The sequence below is a fragment of the Homo sapiens genome, chromosome 3 (genome assembly GCF_000001405.40).
Source record: "Homo sapiens chromosome 3, GRCh38.p14 Primary Assembly".
Classification (NCBI taxonomy): Eukaryota; Metazoa; Chordata; class Mammalia; order Primates; family Hominidae; genus Homo; species Homo sapiens.
The window spans coordinates 37,430,989-37,448,531 of record NC_000003.12 but is presented as its reverse complement, the minus strand read 5'-3'; the positions used below and the strand labels follow the sequence as shown (position 1 = coordinate 37,448,531).

Below are 17,543 nucleotides of genomic sequence, written 5' to 3'. Positions count from 1 at the left end.
TGGAAGAGACAATAAAATGGATTATCTCCTAGAGCCTCCAGAAAGGCAACACCTTGAGTTTAATCCAGTGAGACTCCTGTCCCACTTCTGACATCCAGAACTGTAAGATAATAAATGTTGTTGTTTTAAGCCGCTATGCTTGTGACCATTTGTTATAGCAGAAGCAGGAAACTAATATAGCCCTCTAGAATTATATATAAAAGTGTGTATGTGTGTGTTTGTGTGTTTCTTAGGGAAAGATCCACAGATTTCAACAGATTCTTTAAAGGTAAGGTAGGTTTTAGAAGACAGGAAACCACTGATCTAAAACACACTGATTTCCAACTTTGGAAACCAAACCCTAAAAATGATATCGGTTAAAAATTATAGCATTGGTGTTTGATTTAACTAAACAGTAGCTGTCAATCCTGACTGTATATTAGACCACCAGGCAACTATTTAAAAATACAGATTTACTAATAACACTCTAGGTCAGAATCTAGGGGCAAGGCCCAGGAATCTGCATTTCCAACACCTCTTGGGAGATTTGTCAAGTAGCCAGGCTTGGGAAGCACTGTCCTACAGGAGAGAGATTCAGAACCCTGCACTGTATTCCTTAACCTGTGGCACCATGATGTGGTAAGAAAAACGTAGGATTTGGCATCTGGTGAAGAGAATTTAACTCCCAGGCCCGAACAACTGTGTAATTTTAGTAAATCAATAAAACAAGGATACCAATAACTAATAAACCTATTGATGAGCTTCTCAGGACAGCATTTCCTAACCATAAAACGCTAAACATGTATTAGTTATTCGTATAATCTGAGCTCAAGAGTGAGCTCAATTTCCTAGTTGCCAGAATAAGCTGTTTTACAGAGACTTGACCTGAAGGGCGTGTCTCCAGGGTCACCAGCTGGAGGGGAGAGGCATACTATTTCAAACCTGGCCATGCAAAATGTAGATTTGCTTTATGGAATGGAGACTTTTGAAAAACTGAACCTCTTGTCCAATTTCCCAACGGAAATGGCAACCAAATGCCCTCCATTCCTTTATGCTCTCACTTCAAGAAGGAATCTGAAGGTTTTCCATTAGCCTTAGTGGCTGCAAACTGAACAGCATGCTCTATCAGCTCACCTAGCATTGGCGTTTTCTATAAGCTGTGCAAAATTGCTCTCCACAGTTACTTTGTTAAACAGTTACATTGTTAAACAATTAAACAGTTACATACATACTTTGTTGAATTGTTACTGCTACTGTAACAATGCAAAAGAAGTGATGGTTATACTGCTCTGCTCCCTCCTGCCTCACTGCAGAGAGGAATATTGGAATGATTAAATGTTGGGGTGAAAACAACATTGGCTTTTCAGAAGCCTCAAAAAAGTCTTGGAGGCCAGACACAGTTGCTCATGCCTGTAATCCCAACTTCTGGAAAGCCAAGATGGGAAGATTGCTTGAGGCCAGAGTTTGAGACAACATAGTGAGACCTCATCTCTAGGGCGAAAAAAGTGACCGGACATGGTGGTATGCACCTGTAGTCCTAACTTCTTGGGAGGCTGAGATGGGAGGATCACTTGAGCCCAGGAGATGGAGGCTACAGTGAGCTATGATTCCACCACTATGCTCTAGCCTGGATGACACAGTGAGACCTTGTCTCTAGAAAGAAAAGAAAAAGGAAAAACTCTTAAGATTAATTAGTCTTTTTAATCCTTCCTTTCTCTAATATCTTTTTTTTTCTTTTTGCTTATACATTTGTAGATTTTTATCTGCCTCTCATTATTTCCTAAATGCTTAACTACTAGGTCAAAGCTAGGTAGATATCTAAGGCTCTTAATACAAGCCAATTGGCTTAGTAATCTTTAGGTTTAGAATACAATTTTTCATTACAAATACTATGCTATATTACTATAGCAGGAAATACACATAGTTCCTCCAGGTGAGTATTTCTGGACCCTGTATTGAGCCATACTTTTTCCTGTGCTCTTTTTTCTAGAGTGCCCTTCCCATGGTCTCCGATGGGAAATGCTAATTTCTCCCTGACAAAGCTTCCCAACCATAACTCTCTAACATCCTCCTTGTCTCCCCCAAGGGACTGCTTGCATTTCTGGGGTCTGTGTGAGTGTACCGTAGGAGGACCCTAAATGGAGGTTTAGACACTCCCCACTGATTATGAGAGCCCGGTTTGCAGAGACCTGACGGGTACAGACACTCGAGCAGAGCAGATGCTGCTGTAAGGTGATAGGACTGCTAGCAGCAAGGAAGGCTCACTCACTATGTGTCTCACACTGCACTAAGCATGTTATAGATCACTTTATCTTATGTAAACCTCACAGTGATCCAGTTGGGAAGATGCAGTCTGAGATTTTATCTCAGTTACCATAGAACCATGTGAAATGAGGACTGACCATATGATGGGTTCACAATCCTTGTCCAAAACTCTTAGGGCCAAATGTGTTTCTGCAATCAAGTTTTTTCAGTTTAGAAGAGAAGACAGCATCACACCCCATATATTACAAGATAATATACCGTTTATTACATAACCAGCCCATGAACACTGCACTCCCCCCAAAAGTGATCTCTGTAGTTCTAATCCCTCCAAAAGAGCAAGGCCCATAAAGTCAGTTCATCCTCTCTCATTCTTGGGGCACATGGCATCTAATGCCAACTGTCGGGTTTTCTTTGGAGTTAGCCCTAAAGAACTTAGCCACTTGGTTCTTAACAATGCACAATCCAGCCTATACTATCCACTATTTGGTTGAATCAGCACCTTACACAGCCTGTTACAAAAGGTTGGCATGCAACTTTACACACTGACAAGGAACAATCCCTGCAGCATAACAAGGGTAATAACTCAAGTTCCTTAAGGACATGCCTACTATAATCTGGTATATGTAAATTTCTATGCATCTGTATGTATATATGCACAAAGAAAGAGATTTGGAAGTTTACCCTAAATGTTAATAATGATTATGGTTGAGATTATGGGCTATTCTTGCCTATCTATCTATCTATCTATCTATCTATCTATCTATCTATCTATCTATCGTCTATCTATCACTCCTTTAGTACTGCTTGAATTGTCTACAGAGACACAGTGGATGTCTACATCCAGCAGTGGATGTAGAAGATGCTACCTCCGTAAAGCCAAAGTCACTAATCAAAGTTAGAAATAGGGAAGTGGATCAAGAGCTGTGCACACACAGCTATCTGATCTCCAAATGAGGAGACAACTTGACCTTCACACAACAGAGAAAGAAAGAGGAGCCAAGGGCAGCTCTCATTCCCATCTATTAACAAGCCCTGCCCTCTGGCCCTGGCCTCTGTTGAGGGGACTTTGCCAACTGAGGTAGGTAGACCAGCCATCATGTGGAAGGAAGAAGTGGTCAATAGCCAGATGGCTCCTCACAGTATTTTCAAAAGAGGCAGAAAAAAATAAAAAGGGTTTGGATCATTCACATACCAGATAATCGTTGTCTAAATGATTGACACAGCTAAATGCACCTCTTAACGGCAATTCTTCAAAAGTTGCCTTGCCCTGTTTTTCATACATAAGACAAGCTATACTTCCACGTGGCTTTGATATCCAGAAAGTTCAGAGGAAGGGCAAATACTATCGCCAAGCCTTCAACTATAATAGCAGGCAGAGATTTGAGCAAATACTTTCCCACTGAAGTATTTCATAAGCCAAAAGTTAAACTGTTATTATTGGGTGCAATATTTCCAACCTGTTTCCATGCTCAAACAAATTTTTTTCCAGAGATCTAAATTTAGTGAAACGGCTTTAAGCAACAACCATCAGTGTTAGAATACAGCTGTACAACATAATGCCAAGTTTTAAAAACACTTCTCACTTCAATTGAAATATTAAAGCTAGCCTATGGCTTAGCAAAACATAAAATATTAAAATGATGATATTTGTTGGAGGCAGTTTAGGGTGATGAGTAACAGTGAGGGCTGTGGTGCTCGTAATCCCAATGTAGTGGCTTGTCAGATATATTAGTCTTCTAGGGCTGCCATAAAAAAATACCACAGACTGGGTGGCTTAAATAACATAAATTTATTTTCTCACAGTTCTGGAGACTGAAAGTCCAAGATCAAGGGCAGCAGAGTTGGTGTCTGGTGAGGGCTCTTCCTTTGGGTTGCAGATGGTCCCCTTCTTGCTATGGACTCACATGACCTCTTCGTGCTTGCAGAGAGGCGGAGGGAGGGGAGAGCGAGAGCAAGAGAGAGGACACTAATTCTATCAGATCAGAACCCCACCCTTATGACCTCAATTACTTTCATATTCCAAATACAGGCGAATTGGGGGTTAGGGCTTCAACATAAGAATTTTGGAGGATACATGCATTCAGTCCACAGCATCAGGTATGTGGCCCTGAGAAGTTATTTGAGCTCTCCCCATTTGTTACAGGGAATCATACCCAAAGGTTTGTTGTGAGGATTAAATGTAATGAGCCACTCTGCACATCGCAGCATGAGGGAAGCAACTGGTACATGTTAGCAATTTAGTGCCATTATTATTATGTCATTTATTCCACTCTTTTAAAATAGCTATTTTTATTTGGAGTAAAAGAAAAACTCAAAACACTTTTCTCAAGGTGTCTGCATGTTTCAGTGGGCCATTTTAGAGCCTTCCTTTGTCTAAGTGTTCAAGCCCTCAAACCCCCAGGTGCTTCAGGTGCCCTGTGAAGGGCTGGAGAGGTGAGTCACAACCCAAGCACCCATGACCTCACTCTCACATCAGCGGCCGGCTAGCCAGCTCCTTTTTCAGGGCCCTCTCTACCTTAGCTTTCGTAAATTGTCAAATCCACATCTCTCCAGGGCTTCCCAGATGTGGGCCATCAGAGGGAGACTCCTGAAACATCTTTGGTGATTTCCTCAAGGTCCCACCCACTCATGGTTTAAATGCAGTGGGATTTTAAGGTGTTGACCTTGGGTGCATGTGTGTGTGTGTATGTGTACATGTGCGTGTGTGCATGTGTATGCACATGCGTGCGTGTGTGCATGTGCGTGTGTGTGCGCATGTGCATGTGAGCGCACGTGTGTGTGTGTGCGTGCGTGTGTGTGCGTGTGTGTGTGCACACACATGCAGGTAAGAGAAGTTCACTTCAATATCATTCAGATGCAATGGAACATTCACCAAAAAATGAGTACCTGGAATTGAATGTATCAGAAGTTGTCTGCCATAGAGGAGTGTGTCTAAAGGAGAGTTACGAGTAGGGGAGTGGGGCAGGAGATGAAATTTTGCAGGAAATGGAAGGGCAGTTCTAGCTTCTTCCCTGTCTTCTTTCAGGCAGCCTCAGTGTACTCCAAACTCTAAGCAAATGTCTTTAGGGAAGGGTAAACACTAAACACGTTTTGGGACCCCTTCTGCTGCTTAACACGCTCCCACAAGAAAAGCCTTCTTATGCCTTCCCCCAGAAAGTTTTTAAGTTGAAGCCTAGGACCTCTTGTACTTGAAGCTGCAAGATATACATGTTATACCTTCTGGGTGCATCAATTTTATTCAAAGACATGAAGGGGGGAATAAATAATATGTTGTGAGATTGGGATGACTCCGAATCAAATCCAGTGACAGGGAAGGCCCCAAGGTCCCTGACATAAAAAACAGGTGAACTAGCTCCTGCAGGAAGTTGGGGTTGAGGAGGTAATAGTGATTCTGAGTCCAGGAGCTGAGACAGCCAGCCTGGGTGCAGTCATCCTTCCTGAAGGCAGGCTTGCACCCTGGGCAAGGGCTGGGTGCGTGTGTCTGAGTCAGTGATACTGGAAGGTGGCCACATCTGCTGAGTGCAATGGGGAGTCGAAGATGGGTCCTCCCTCCACATGCCCCAGGGTCTGCTGCAACTATGAAAAGGTCTGTGCCAGCAGTTGCGGAGGTGGCAGAAGCAGGACACTAAGCCCTGATCACACTGCCTGGGATGCCAGTGGGGTAGATAGAGTGCACATGACATTGGGGCATCCTCTGGCCTTGGGTGGAGGTTCTGACTGCAAAGGCAAGGTGGAAAGGACAGGGATTGACATTTTGGATATGACTAAGCATCCTGGGGGTCTTTCCTTGGAGGAAGGCCTGAGGCGTTTCTCAAGGTGATAAGGGGAGGGCTCAAGCTGTTTTACTGAGACATTAAAAGATATGACCTTGTTTTTTTTGTGTGCCTCAAGACAGAAAAGTGACTACATAAGTATGTTAAGAATGGACTGCCTTCCTGCCCCGCCTCCCTCTCAGAGTCCTGTGCTGGACTCAGCCCACTGTCCATGATCTCTAATGACAGGTTGACTTTTCTTTTCCCAGAATCCTCTTCTGACCTAATCTGCCTGTGGGATCCACACACAGGGTCTCACACATGGGAAACGACACAGAATACTCACAGCCCTGGCGGGGCAAGAAGGGGTGAGGGGAGCCCCAATGCTATGCTGGGATGTGTACGCAAATGGCAGGAAATGTCACCCTGTGGTGGTTTTAAAATATATCCACACATTCTCTTGACACTCCTTCCTCCAAAAGGTGAAGACTAATTCCCCTTCCCTCAAACAGGAGCTGATCTTAGTGCCTTCCTTCTAACAAATAGGATATTGTGGGACTGCTGTGATAGGCCACGAAAAGCATTGTCCCTTCCACCTTACTGTCTCGGGTTGCTCAATCCCGGGAAAGCCACACCAGCCGCCATGTCGTGAGGACACTCAAGCAGCCTGTGGAGAGGCCCATGTGGAGAGGAAGTAAAGCCTCCTGCTAACCTCAAGCACCAATTTGCCAGCCATGTCAGGAGCCGCCTCAGAGGCGGACCCTACAGGTCCAGTCAAACCTTCAGCCTCAGCCAATAGCTTAACTGCCATTTATGAGAGACCCTGAGCCAGAAGCACCCAGATAAGCCACTTCGGGATTCCTGACTAACAAAAACTGTAGTATAATTGATATTGTTTTAAGCCGTTATGCTTTGAGGTAATTTGTTACATAGCAATAGAAAACCAGTACAAATTTGGGGGTAATTTATGACCCAGTAATAGATAACAAACACATACCTCTTCGCCTCAGTGGTGAGCTGATGGGGATGGTAGTTAGAGCCACATAACAGATCCGCATTGCCACAGCTGCCTTTCTGAGTCAGGACACAAGGAAATCCTGCCTAGTGTGGGATGGCTCTGTGGTGGAACAATTGACCTAGCTATGGTCCGAGACTTAAGACCTGAGTCCAAATCTTGATCTGCCACTTACCAGCTGCCAGACACAGGGTTAGTTGCTACACCTTATAGGGACTCCATATCTCATCTGATAATAGTATCCACCTAGTAAGGAGGACAGATTAAATGGAAATAAGTGCACCAAAGTAACAACCAGATGGGGGGTCAGTTGAACCCAGTGGAAGTTATTCAGTCATGCGTCACATAGTGATGGGAATACATTCTGAGAATGTATTGTTAGGGCCGGGCGCGGTGGCTCAGGCCTGTAATCTCAGCACTTTGAGAGGCTGAGGCACCCTGAGGTCAGGAGTTCGAGACCAGCCTGGCCAATATGGCAAAACCCTGTCTCCACTAAAAATACAAAAATTCACCGGGCATGGTGGCATGCACCTGTAATACCAGCTGCTCAGGAGGCTGAGGCAGGAGAATCACCTGAACCTGGGAGGCAGAGGTTGCCGTGAGCTGAGATCATGCCACTGCACTTCAGCCTGGGCGACAAGTGAGACTCCGTCAATGTGTTGTTAGGCAATATTGTTGTGCAAACCTCTTGGAACATACTTACACAAACCTAGATGGTATAGACTACTATATGCCCAGGCTACACGGTGTAGCCTATTGCTCCTAAGCTACAAACCTGCATAGCACATTACTGTACTGAATACTGTAGGCAATTGTAACACAAAGGTAAGGTAAGCAATTGTAACACAAAGATTTAGATACACAAAGATACTTTTGTATCTAAACAAAGAAAACGTACAGTAAAATATATACTATAAAAGATTAAAAATGGTACACCAGTGTGGGGCACTTACCATGAATGGAGCTTGTAGGCCTGGAAGATTGCTCTGGGTGAGTCAGTGAGTAAGTGAATGTGAAGGCCTAGGACATTCGTGTACACTAATGTAGACTTTATAAACACGGAAAACTTAGGCTACACTAAATTTTTTTTCTTTAATTTTCTTTCTTCAGCAATAAACTAAGCTTACTATAACTTTTTTATTTTGCAAATGTTTAAATTTTTCTAACTTTTTGGCTCTTCTATAATAACAGCTTAAAACACAAACATGTTATATAGCTGTAGAAATATTTTCTTTCTTTATAGCCTTATTCTGCACGTTTTTTTCTATTAAAATTTATTTTTACTTTTTAAACATTTTGTTAAAAGTGAAGACATAAACACACACATTAGCATAGGCCGACACAGGCTCAGGGCCATCAATATCAGTCTTCCACCTCCACATCTTGTCCCACTGATAGTCTTCAGAGCAGTAACGCATATGGAGCTGTCATCTCTGATGATAACAATGTCTTCTTCTGGAACACCTCCTAGAGGACCTGCCTGAGGCTGTTCTACAGTCAACTTTTTTTAATAAGTAGAAGTACACTCTAAAATATGAATAAAAATATAGTATAGTAAACACATAAACCAATAACATAGTCATTTATTATCATTATCAAGTATTATGTTCAGCACATAATTGTATATACTATGCTTTTTTATGTGGCAGCATAGTAAGTTGGATTTTTTTGTTATTTTGTAGAGACCGGGTCTCATTGTGTTGCCCAGGCTGGTCTCCAACTCCTGGCCTCAAGCAACCTACCACCTCAGCCTCCCAAAGTGCTGGGATTACAGACAAGAGCCACCTTTCCCAGCCTCACACATGAGCATCACCACAAACATGTGAGTAACATGTTATGCTACAACATTATGACAGCTACGTCACTAGGCAATGGGAATTTTTCAGCTCCGTTATGATCTATGGGACCAGCATCTTATCATCCATCATTGACAAAAATGTTATTATGTGGTGCATGACTGCATTTTAAAAGACATTTTATTTTTACTTTTATTTTTTGAGACAGGGTATCACTCTGTTGCTCAGGCTGGAGTGCAGTGACATGATCTCGGCTCACTGCAACCTCCATTTCCAGGGCTCAAGAGAACCTCCAACCTCAGTCTCCAGAGTAATTGGGACTACAGGTGTGTGCCACCACTTCCAGCTCATTTTTTTGGTTTTTGGGTTTTTTCGTTTTTGTTTTTGTTTTTTTGCAGAGACAGGGTTTCGCCATGTTGCCCAGGCTGGTCTCAAAGTCCTAGGATCAACCAATCCACCTGCTTCAGCATCTCAAAGTGCTGGGACTACAGGCGTTAGCCACTGCACCCAGTCTAAAATGACATTTTAAACATGAATAGCTGGCACTATAGCTATGTGTCCAATCTGCTGCCCAATTCAACCTCATACCATCAGGAGTCATTAAATCGGACCCACACAGGCCTGACAGACAAGGCAATGCGGTCTTCTCTTTTGGTTCTCAGCTTATCTAAATTACATTCTAGATTGTGACATTCTAAGATTATTTACATATTCCAAATGTGCTTAAGAGACAAACTTGGAATTAACGTGGAACTGAAAGCATTTTGTGGGAAGTATCTAGATAGGCCAATTCATTTTGTTTTTCTGTCTGAGCCTGTGAGCATCCATTCCTTCCCACAATCATAACAATTCATCAGGCTCCAGCTCTTTAACATAGACCTCTCCTCAAACCAATTAACAGAGAGGAGGGAGAGTGGAGAGTCAGTGGATTCAGTGTCCTTGACTGTCCTGAGGCAGCCTCCAACAAGTCTGACTCCCTGGGTTGGGTCCCTGTTCCAACAGTCCCCACCTGCCCTCCTTTCCTTCCCCTCTTCCCCCAAACCTCCTATTCTCTAAAAGCTCTGTCCCCTACAAAGTACGTGAGCAAGAGCAGACATTACCCATACCAGAGGTGACAGAGCAGAAGGAAAGAACACAGCAGGAGCTGGGCCATCAGACCACTTGGGTTCAAATCCTAGTTCTGCTCTTGACCAGTTGTGGAACATGCGGCATTTCTCTACCTCCTTGAGGCTCTGTTTCCTCATCTTTAAAACAACCTATTGTGGTGGGTGTTTGATAGTCTTGTTGGCTGTCCGAACCACTCCTCACTTAAGTCCACCCACTCGTAAATGGGATTAGTGCCCTTATGAAAGAAGCCCAAGGGAGCTTGTTTGCCCCTTCCAACACGTGAAGACACAGCAAGAAGGCACCATTTACGAACCAGAAAGTGAGCCCTCACCAGACACTGAATCTGTCAGCACCTTGATCTTGGACTTCCCAGCCTCCAGAACTGAGAGATAAATTTCCGCTGTTTCTAAGCTACCTGGTCTGTGGCAATTTGCTGTGGCAGCCCAAAGGGATTAAGATACAGATGATGTAAAACTTGAGGCATGTTTTCAAACAACTGCAATACATCATGCATCAGCACTTATTTTTCCCTAGGAAAACAACAGTACAGTGAATTTAGTGACTAACAGGTTAGCTTCCTGAGTAACTAGGACCTAATGGCCAGGTGTCCCAGTTGGAGGCTCATCACAAAAGGTGGCAAATGACCATAGGCAACACCAAGTAGCCACTCCCTCAGTGCATTGTAGGCCGTCACAGTATTTACATGGGCAACCCCAAGGGTTCAGGGCTTTCTGTTCTGGTTTCCATCCATCTCACTATATAAGAGGGAATATATTTTTACCTCTCTCTCAAATTTGGATGCTGTTAAAATAGTATGTATTTTGCCGCTGAAGTTATTTTTTAAAAACCAGGTATGTTATCTTATTCTGTGTGTGGTATGGATATTAAGCAATTTGATATATTTTGACTATAAACATGGATACCTAAACAGAATATAAATGAGATCAGTCGTCTATGATCACCTAAGATCAAGTGAAACTCTTTGCTTACCTTGCAGTCTCCACGCACTGATTAGAAGGCAGGCAAATTTCATGAGCTGTGCAAAGAAGGAAAGAAACTTGTAGCAGATGCTGTGGATGCTCCACGCAGATGCCACCAGCATGTGATATTTCTGTGCATGTGGCCTGACTTCCAACAGCCAGCATCTAAGACTCTTTGTCGAAGGCTTCCTGATTACTGGAGCCCTCTCTGCCCACACACATGGCAGGCCAGAAATGCTAGAGAATGAACACTTCCCTGGAGCAACACTCAACCAATGACTCCCTTTGCTCCAATGAAAAAACTCTGAGCTGTATATTCTACACTGGCTCCCAGAGTTCCCCAGAGGCATTGAGCTCCAGTTGCCCACAGTGGTAACTTGCTCAATAACGCACTCTCCATTGGCTTCCTTCCTTCCCTGTCTTACTTCTCCAGTCCCTGAATGGTGATCCCTGAATGACTGTTTCTCAATTAAGCCACTTGCACTTGAATCCTTGTCTCAGGTACTGCTTCTGGAGGATGCAAACTAAGACAGCGATGTGTGAAATTCAAATATCAAAAGGTCATTGAAAAAGCAAAGAAATAAATCAACATGGACCTTTAGTAGTTGTGGACAATGCTATCCTGATTCCTCATTTCCTGGTACCTAGTCCTTTTACTTCTGACATCCCTCTCACCAGACTTTTGCCATCTTCCACCAACATGACATTTTGGACCTTGGCCATGAAGGTTTGTCATTCTCAAGTCCACTTATTAATTAGCCCAGCTTACCCAAGTTGAAGTACAAAGGAAACTCACTAATTGAGCAGCCGTTGGGAGCTGTCCCCTAGTTTCATCCAGGGCCAGATCTCCCGGCTCTGTGTGACATGCAAACTTCAGTCTCCTCAGAGGACCAGGCTTTCAGGGGACAGAGTCAGTCTACCCAAGAACCAAGAGGAAGAAGGCCCAGGCAGATGCACAGGGACAGTGGGAAGTGCAGCCTGCACAGGACACAACTTTCCCGGTGAGGGAGCCATGCCTAAGACTAACTTGCAGCTCAGGAAGTTGCTTATTTAAAAAGAAAAGAACATTTCCGAGCAAACATCTCACTGCAAACCAAGTTTGCTGTAGTTGCTGTTTAATGGTCAGCACATTCACCTCTTTCATGAAAACCCTGGTTCAAAACAGGGCGGCGAGCCAGGCGTGGTAGCTCACACTTGTAATCCCAGCACTTTGGGAGGCCAAGGCAGGTGGATCACCTGAGGTCAGGAGTTCGACACCAGCCTGGCCAACATGGTGAAACCCCGCCTCTACTAAAAATACAAAAATTAGCCAGGCGTGGTGGCATGCACCTGTAATCCCAGCTACTCGAGAGGCTGAGACAGGAGAATCGCTTGAACCCAGGAGGCAGTTGCAGTGAGCCGAGAGCCCACCACTGCACTCCAGCCTGGGCAACAAAGCAAGACCCCATCTCAAAAAATAAAATAAAATACAAAACAGGGCAGGGGCACACACCTCTATGCACTGCATGCTCCTTTAGGCGAGATCATCTGTATCCTCTTAAATATGTTTGGTTAAAAAATGTATACATATATTTAGGTATCAGATGACATGTATAAAATAATCAGAAGTCCCTCTAACTCAGCTGACTCTGAACAATGAAGCAGAAGAGTTTACTAGAAGGATACTGGGTGGTTCACAGAATGTGAGAGGGAAGCTCCAGGCCAGGCTTCCAAGAGTAAGACCCCAAAGTTGACCAGTGTGCTGGTGTGTTTGAAGCTGCCTCTGCCACCGTTAAGCACTACAGTACATAACCACTGCATGCTACAGTAGGAAACAGCACCACTTCTGTCAGGAACTTGACCTTGCAGCCCCCTCTGCCAGATAGAGGAAACGCCCTGTCCCCTCCCACCCAAGGTGATTTAACAGTCTTTGTCATGGCCTGTGCTGCAAAGGAGGCAGGAAAGTAAGTACAGCAGTCTCAGATCTGAGAGGCGGGGGTCTCTGGCCCCCATCCAAATTGAATGGCCAAAGTCTGCCTCAAGCCCCAACTCTCCTCCCCGGATGTAACCAGTATTAAGACTGTGGATGTATCCTTCCAGCCCTTTTACACACACAGTTTTAGAAAACGGTTTTTGTAAGAATGAAATTATACTATAAATATCGTTCTGCAACTTAATTTTTCTACTTAAGTCATGTACACCTTTCCATGTTCACACATATAGATCTAACTTGTTCTTTTTGACTACAAAAAAAGATTCTGCAGAATGAAGTGCCATCATTTAGCCAGTCCTCTGTTGATGATATATAAGCTGTAGCCGCTATCTTACTATAACAAACCACAGAGGGAAAGCATCCCAGGGTATGTTTGTCATTGTTGCTGTTTGCACACGCATGTTGTCATTTCTGTAGGAATGGGTTCCTAGAAATGGGCAGCTGGGTCATACAGGCCATAGGGTCTGTGGTCTTTATCCTCATTGCAATATAAGGATGTTGGATTGAACTGAACTTCTCCACTCTGGGGACATTTCTATCCCAGGAACCAAGATAATTCTAGAATCAGGATGGCCCCCGGCCCAGCCAGTGCCAGAGCAATGCTGACCCAGGGCTCTCCTAATTTTGTTTTCCAGGCATCCCCACGCACCAGGTGTGCTGCTCCATTGCAGCCTCTTCCTCTTTTCAGTCCATCCAATGCTGTGATTCCACGTGAGAAGAGACACCTGTGTGGAGCAATGGAAGGCTGGTTTGCAGTCCCAGATCTGCCAGCAGCTGGGATTGAGTCAGTCCCCTCCCTTTTCTGAACTTCAGTTTTCTTACCTTTAAAATAACAGACATGGGCTAAATTAATGGTTTTCTAACTGTGTTCTGCCAAGACCAGCATTCCACAGAGGCATCAGGAACTGCTTCAGAACTTGGGGGATGGAGGGCAAGAGAGCAGGTCCTGGTCCTCGTGAGCTCTGCTATTAACATTGCTGTGTAATGGGATTCTGTGTGAACATTCATTTGAAAAAGGCGTTTTGCTCCTAAAGGGAAATTGAAAACTATTCAGTGTGAGTGGACAGTTTATGCTCCACATCACAGAAATCCCACTCCATAGTGGTTTGAGGGGAAAAAATAAGGGGGAGGATGGTTATTGGTTCACATAATTGAAATCCAGGGGATACTGACTTCAGGCACAGCTCAATCCAGGGGGCTCAAATATTATCAGAACCCACTCTTGTTTCTTCTCATTACGTTGCTATTCACAATGTTGGCTTCATTCTCAGGCTCAGTGTGGCGCCAAAATGGCTGCCAACAGAGTCAGGCCTATATCCTCCCAGGTTCAGGTCCAGCAGAAAACGCCATGTGCCTCTGTTGTGACAGTCACAGCAAAAGACTCACCACATCTTATTGGCTTGGGCTGAGTCATGTTCCATCCCCAGGCCAACCACTGTAGCCAAGTGAATGTAATAACTTGATTGGCCTGGCTGAACTCATGCGGTCAGTGGAGCTAGGTGTGAAATAAACCTTACCCAACATACATTGACTAAATGTGGGACAGGGATGATTCTCCAGAAAATTGTATTATTATTTCCCAATGCTGAGTAGCCAAAAATCAATGCATATAAAACCATGCACATGTGTTTATTCAATGACCAATTAAGATACTGATAAGACAGGATCTGCACCATACACTGGAGATGCAATGATAAATTAATTACAGTCCCCATGCATCTTGTGATGGGCCAGGACCACTGCAGGTCAACAAGGTCATCAGCCAGGAGGAATACCAGGCCACAGAGAGGAGGACAGCAAGGATAAATGGAACCCGCCAGCACCTCTGCATCTGTCTGTCACATCCAACCCTGAGAATCTTCAGAGAATAATGGTGGCTGCTTCACTTCTACCTTCCAAACGTTGTGCAAATTATTCTCTGGACCAATTCTAACTTGAGACCACTCAGAGAAGGGGATTCTGGGAAACATAACTCCAGCCTAAGCAAGTTGATGTAGTTCAAACCACAACAGAATCCATTTGCTGCTATCGCCAGAGTTGAACCATCCAATACTCTGAATAAAGTATGTTTGTCAACTTAGCATCTGGCAAACACTTAATGTTTTGTATGAAATCACAACATAATTTTAGGGTCCTCTTCTATCTAAATACTCAGAATAATTTTAGATAGCCACCAAACACTTGTTGTCATTTGCAACCACCTGTAATTATGAATTAGGATCTACAAAAATAAAAAGTGTGAAAACCACTTAAAAATGACTTGTTGTGAAACAGATGTATCCAATAGACCCAGATATAGAAGTTGTAAATGATTAACTTCAAATAATATTTTCTCATTACTGATATTAAAATGATTAATAAGTTTAAGATATTATGCTTTATTTTTATTTCTAAAAATTTGATAAGTCTTTTGAAACATGTACCTAAAATTGGCTATCTTCTTGCCCACCTAACATCCATTCAGTTGCCTGTGGATGCTGAACTCAAGAAATACTAGTCTAAAGTTCCTATAAAAGACTCAAGAAACGTGGCCACATCTTTGTTCCAGAATTCTAAGATGTAGGCAAACTGTTTGTCTTCCAGCAACTTGCCATCCTTCTTCTGTATATAATTGTTTTTTGTATTTTCTTTCCTTTCTTTCTTTCTTCTATTTCCTTTGGCTGTGGTTGTTTACCATGGTTTGACTTTGTAATGGAATGTCTCCTTTTGCCCTATTCCATTACAGCTCTCTGATTCAGACGGGGTCAATCCCATCAGGAGCCTCAGCTCTCCATCCATGAAGCCACGAGAACCGAAACTTCAGGAACGCATGATCTGCTATGATGCCGTACGACTGCTTGGAATACACCTCTCCCCGCCCAGTGCTGATTTTTCACTGTAGGATGCTGTGGGTGTCTTTCATGAGCAAAGGTGATAAGGAGGGATAGTGTGTTTGGTATAATAAAGAAGATGCATTTTGAACCCAGGACATCCATGCGGGGAGCTGGAGGCACTTCTAGGCCACAAGACACCAACAGTCACATTTAGGAAAGAGAGCATAGGGAAGCAGGGCAAATTGCATATACAAAGCTCATTCATTGTTAAAAAGCAATAAAGGACAATGTGTTTCAAAGCCCAAAGCCAATACCAGAGGTGAAATGTTTCCCAAAAGGGCTTCATTGACCCAGGAGTCAGCTTCCTGGGTTTGAACCTCAGCTCCAATATTGACCAGTAGTAAAACAAAACAAAACAACTTACTTAACCTCTCCAAGATTGTTTCCTCAACCGTAGGATGGGGATAAGAATACCTACTCATATGATGAGTTAATGGGTGCAGCACACCAACATGGCACATGTATACATATGTAACAAACCTGCACGTTGTGCACATGTACCCTAAAACTTAAAGTATAATAATAAAAAAAAAGAATACCTATTCATAGAGTTATTGGCAAGATTCAAGTAACGTGACTAGAACAATTTGTGGCATATAGAAAGCTTTAACCAATGGTGGTGGTGGTAGTATCAGAAAATGTTGTTGTTGTTTTTGTTGTTGTCAGCCAATGAGGAAGGAGAGTTGCAAAGATCTGTGTGCCAGTACCCAAGAGGGCTAACTGCTTGATCTATTGTAACGAATATGGCATGCCCTTGCAGAGGGCAGTCTAGCAATGGAAGCTGATGATTAACCAGTTAATCACAGTATGAAAGGGGTTGAAATGGGGAAGAGGGTCAGTAAGAGTGCTGTAAGACTATAGAGGAAGGGTACTGTGTAGGGTGGTAGGAGGTCTCTAAAGACTTCCTTGGGCTGGGCGCGATGGCTCACACCTGTAATCCCAGCACTTTGGGAGGCCGAGGCAGGTGGATCATTTGAGGTCAGAAGTTCAAGACCAGCCTGGCCAACATGGTGAAACCCTGTCTTTACTAAAAATATAAAAATTAGCAGGGCATGGTGGCACACGCCTGTAATCCCAGCTACTCAGGAGGCTGAGGCAGGAGAATTGCTTGAGCCTGGGAGGTGGAGGTTGCGATGAGCTGAGATCGGGCCACTGCACTCCAGTCTGAGCGAGAGAGTGAGATGCTGTCTCCAAAAAAAAAAAAAAAAAGACTTCCTTGAAGTGGCAACATCTCAGCTGAGCCCTGAAGGGTTAAGAGTTTGCCAGTTAGGGAGGCTTCTAAGATGGCCAAATAGGAACAGCTCTGGTCTGCAGCTCCCAGCAAGATCGACGCAGAAGATGGGTGATTTCTGCATTTCCAACTGAGGTATCTGGTTCATCTCATTGGGACTGGTTGGACAGTGGGTGCAGCCCACAGAGGGCGAGCCGAAGCAGGGCAGGGCATTGCCTCACCCAGGAAGCGCAAAGGGTCAGGGGATTTCCCTTTCCTAGCCAAGGGAAGCCGTGACAGTCTGTACCTGGAGGAACAGTACACTCCTGCTCAAATACTGTGCTTTTCCCATGGTCTTCACAACTGGCAGAACCAGGAAATTCCCTCCTGTGCCTGGCTTGGTGGGTCCCATGCCCACAGAGCCTTGCTCATTGCTAGCACAGCAGTCTGAGATCGACTTGAGATGCTGCAGCTTGGCGGGGGGTGGGGTGTCACCATTGCTAAGGCTTAAGTAGGTGGCTTTGTGCTCACAGTGTAACCAAAGAGGCCAGGAAGCTCGAACTGGGCGGAGCCCACTGCAGCTCAGCAAGGCCT

At 44.1% G+C, this 17,543-nt stretch overlaps 1 long non-coding RNA gene across 3 annotated transcripts in view, besides 1 other annotated feature; it reads right to left on the bottom strand.

Annotated features, from left to right (window-relative positions):
* Positions 4,620 to 4,804: a silencer, noted in NCBI's record as "fragment chr3:37485219-37485403 (GRCh37/hg19 assembly coordinates)". NCBI's record gives its function as "represses an EF-1alpha promoter that drives an FKBP-Casp9 reporter gene in an ReSE screen in HepG2 liver carcinoma cells {active_cell/tissue: HepG2}" and the evidence as "EXISTENCE:reporter gene assay evidence [ECO:0000049][PMID:32094911]".
* APRG1 (APRG1 tumor suppressor candidate) overlaps positions 13,035 to 17,543 on the bottom strand; it is a 54,421-nt gene continuing 49,912 nt past the window's right edge. For 2 of the 3 annotated variants that reach the window (NR_126512.1, NR_126513.1), the window contains one exon: positions 13,035 to 13,591. This is a non-coding gene — a long non-coding RNA (APRG1 tumor suppressor candidate). Of the gene's footprint in view, positions 13,689 to 17,543 lie in introns of all 3 variants that reach the window. The other variant, NR_126514.1, reaches the window with a different exon arrangement.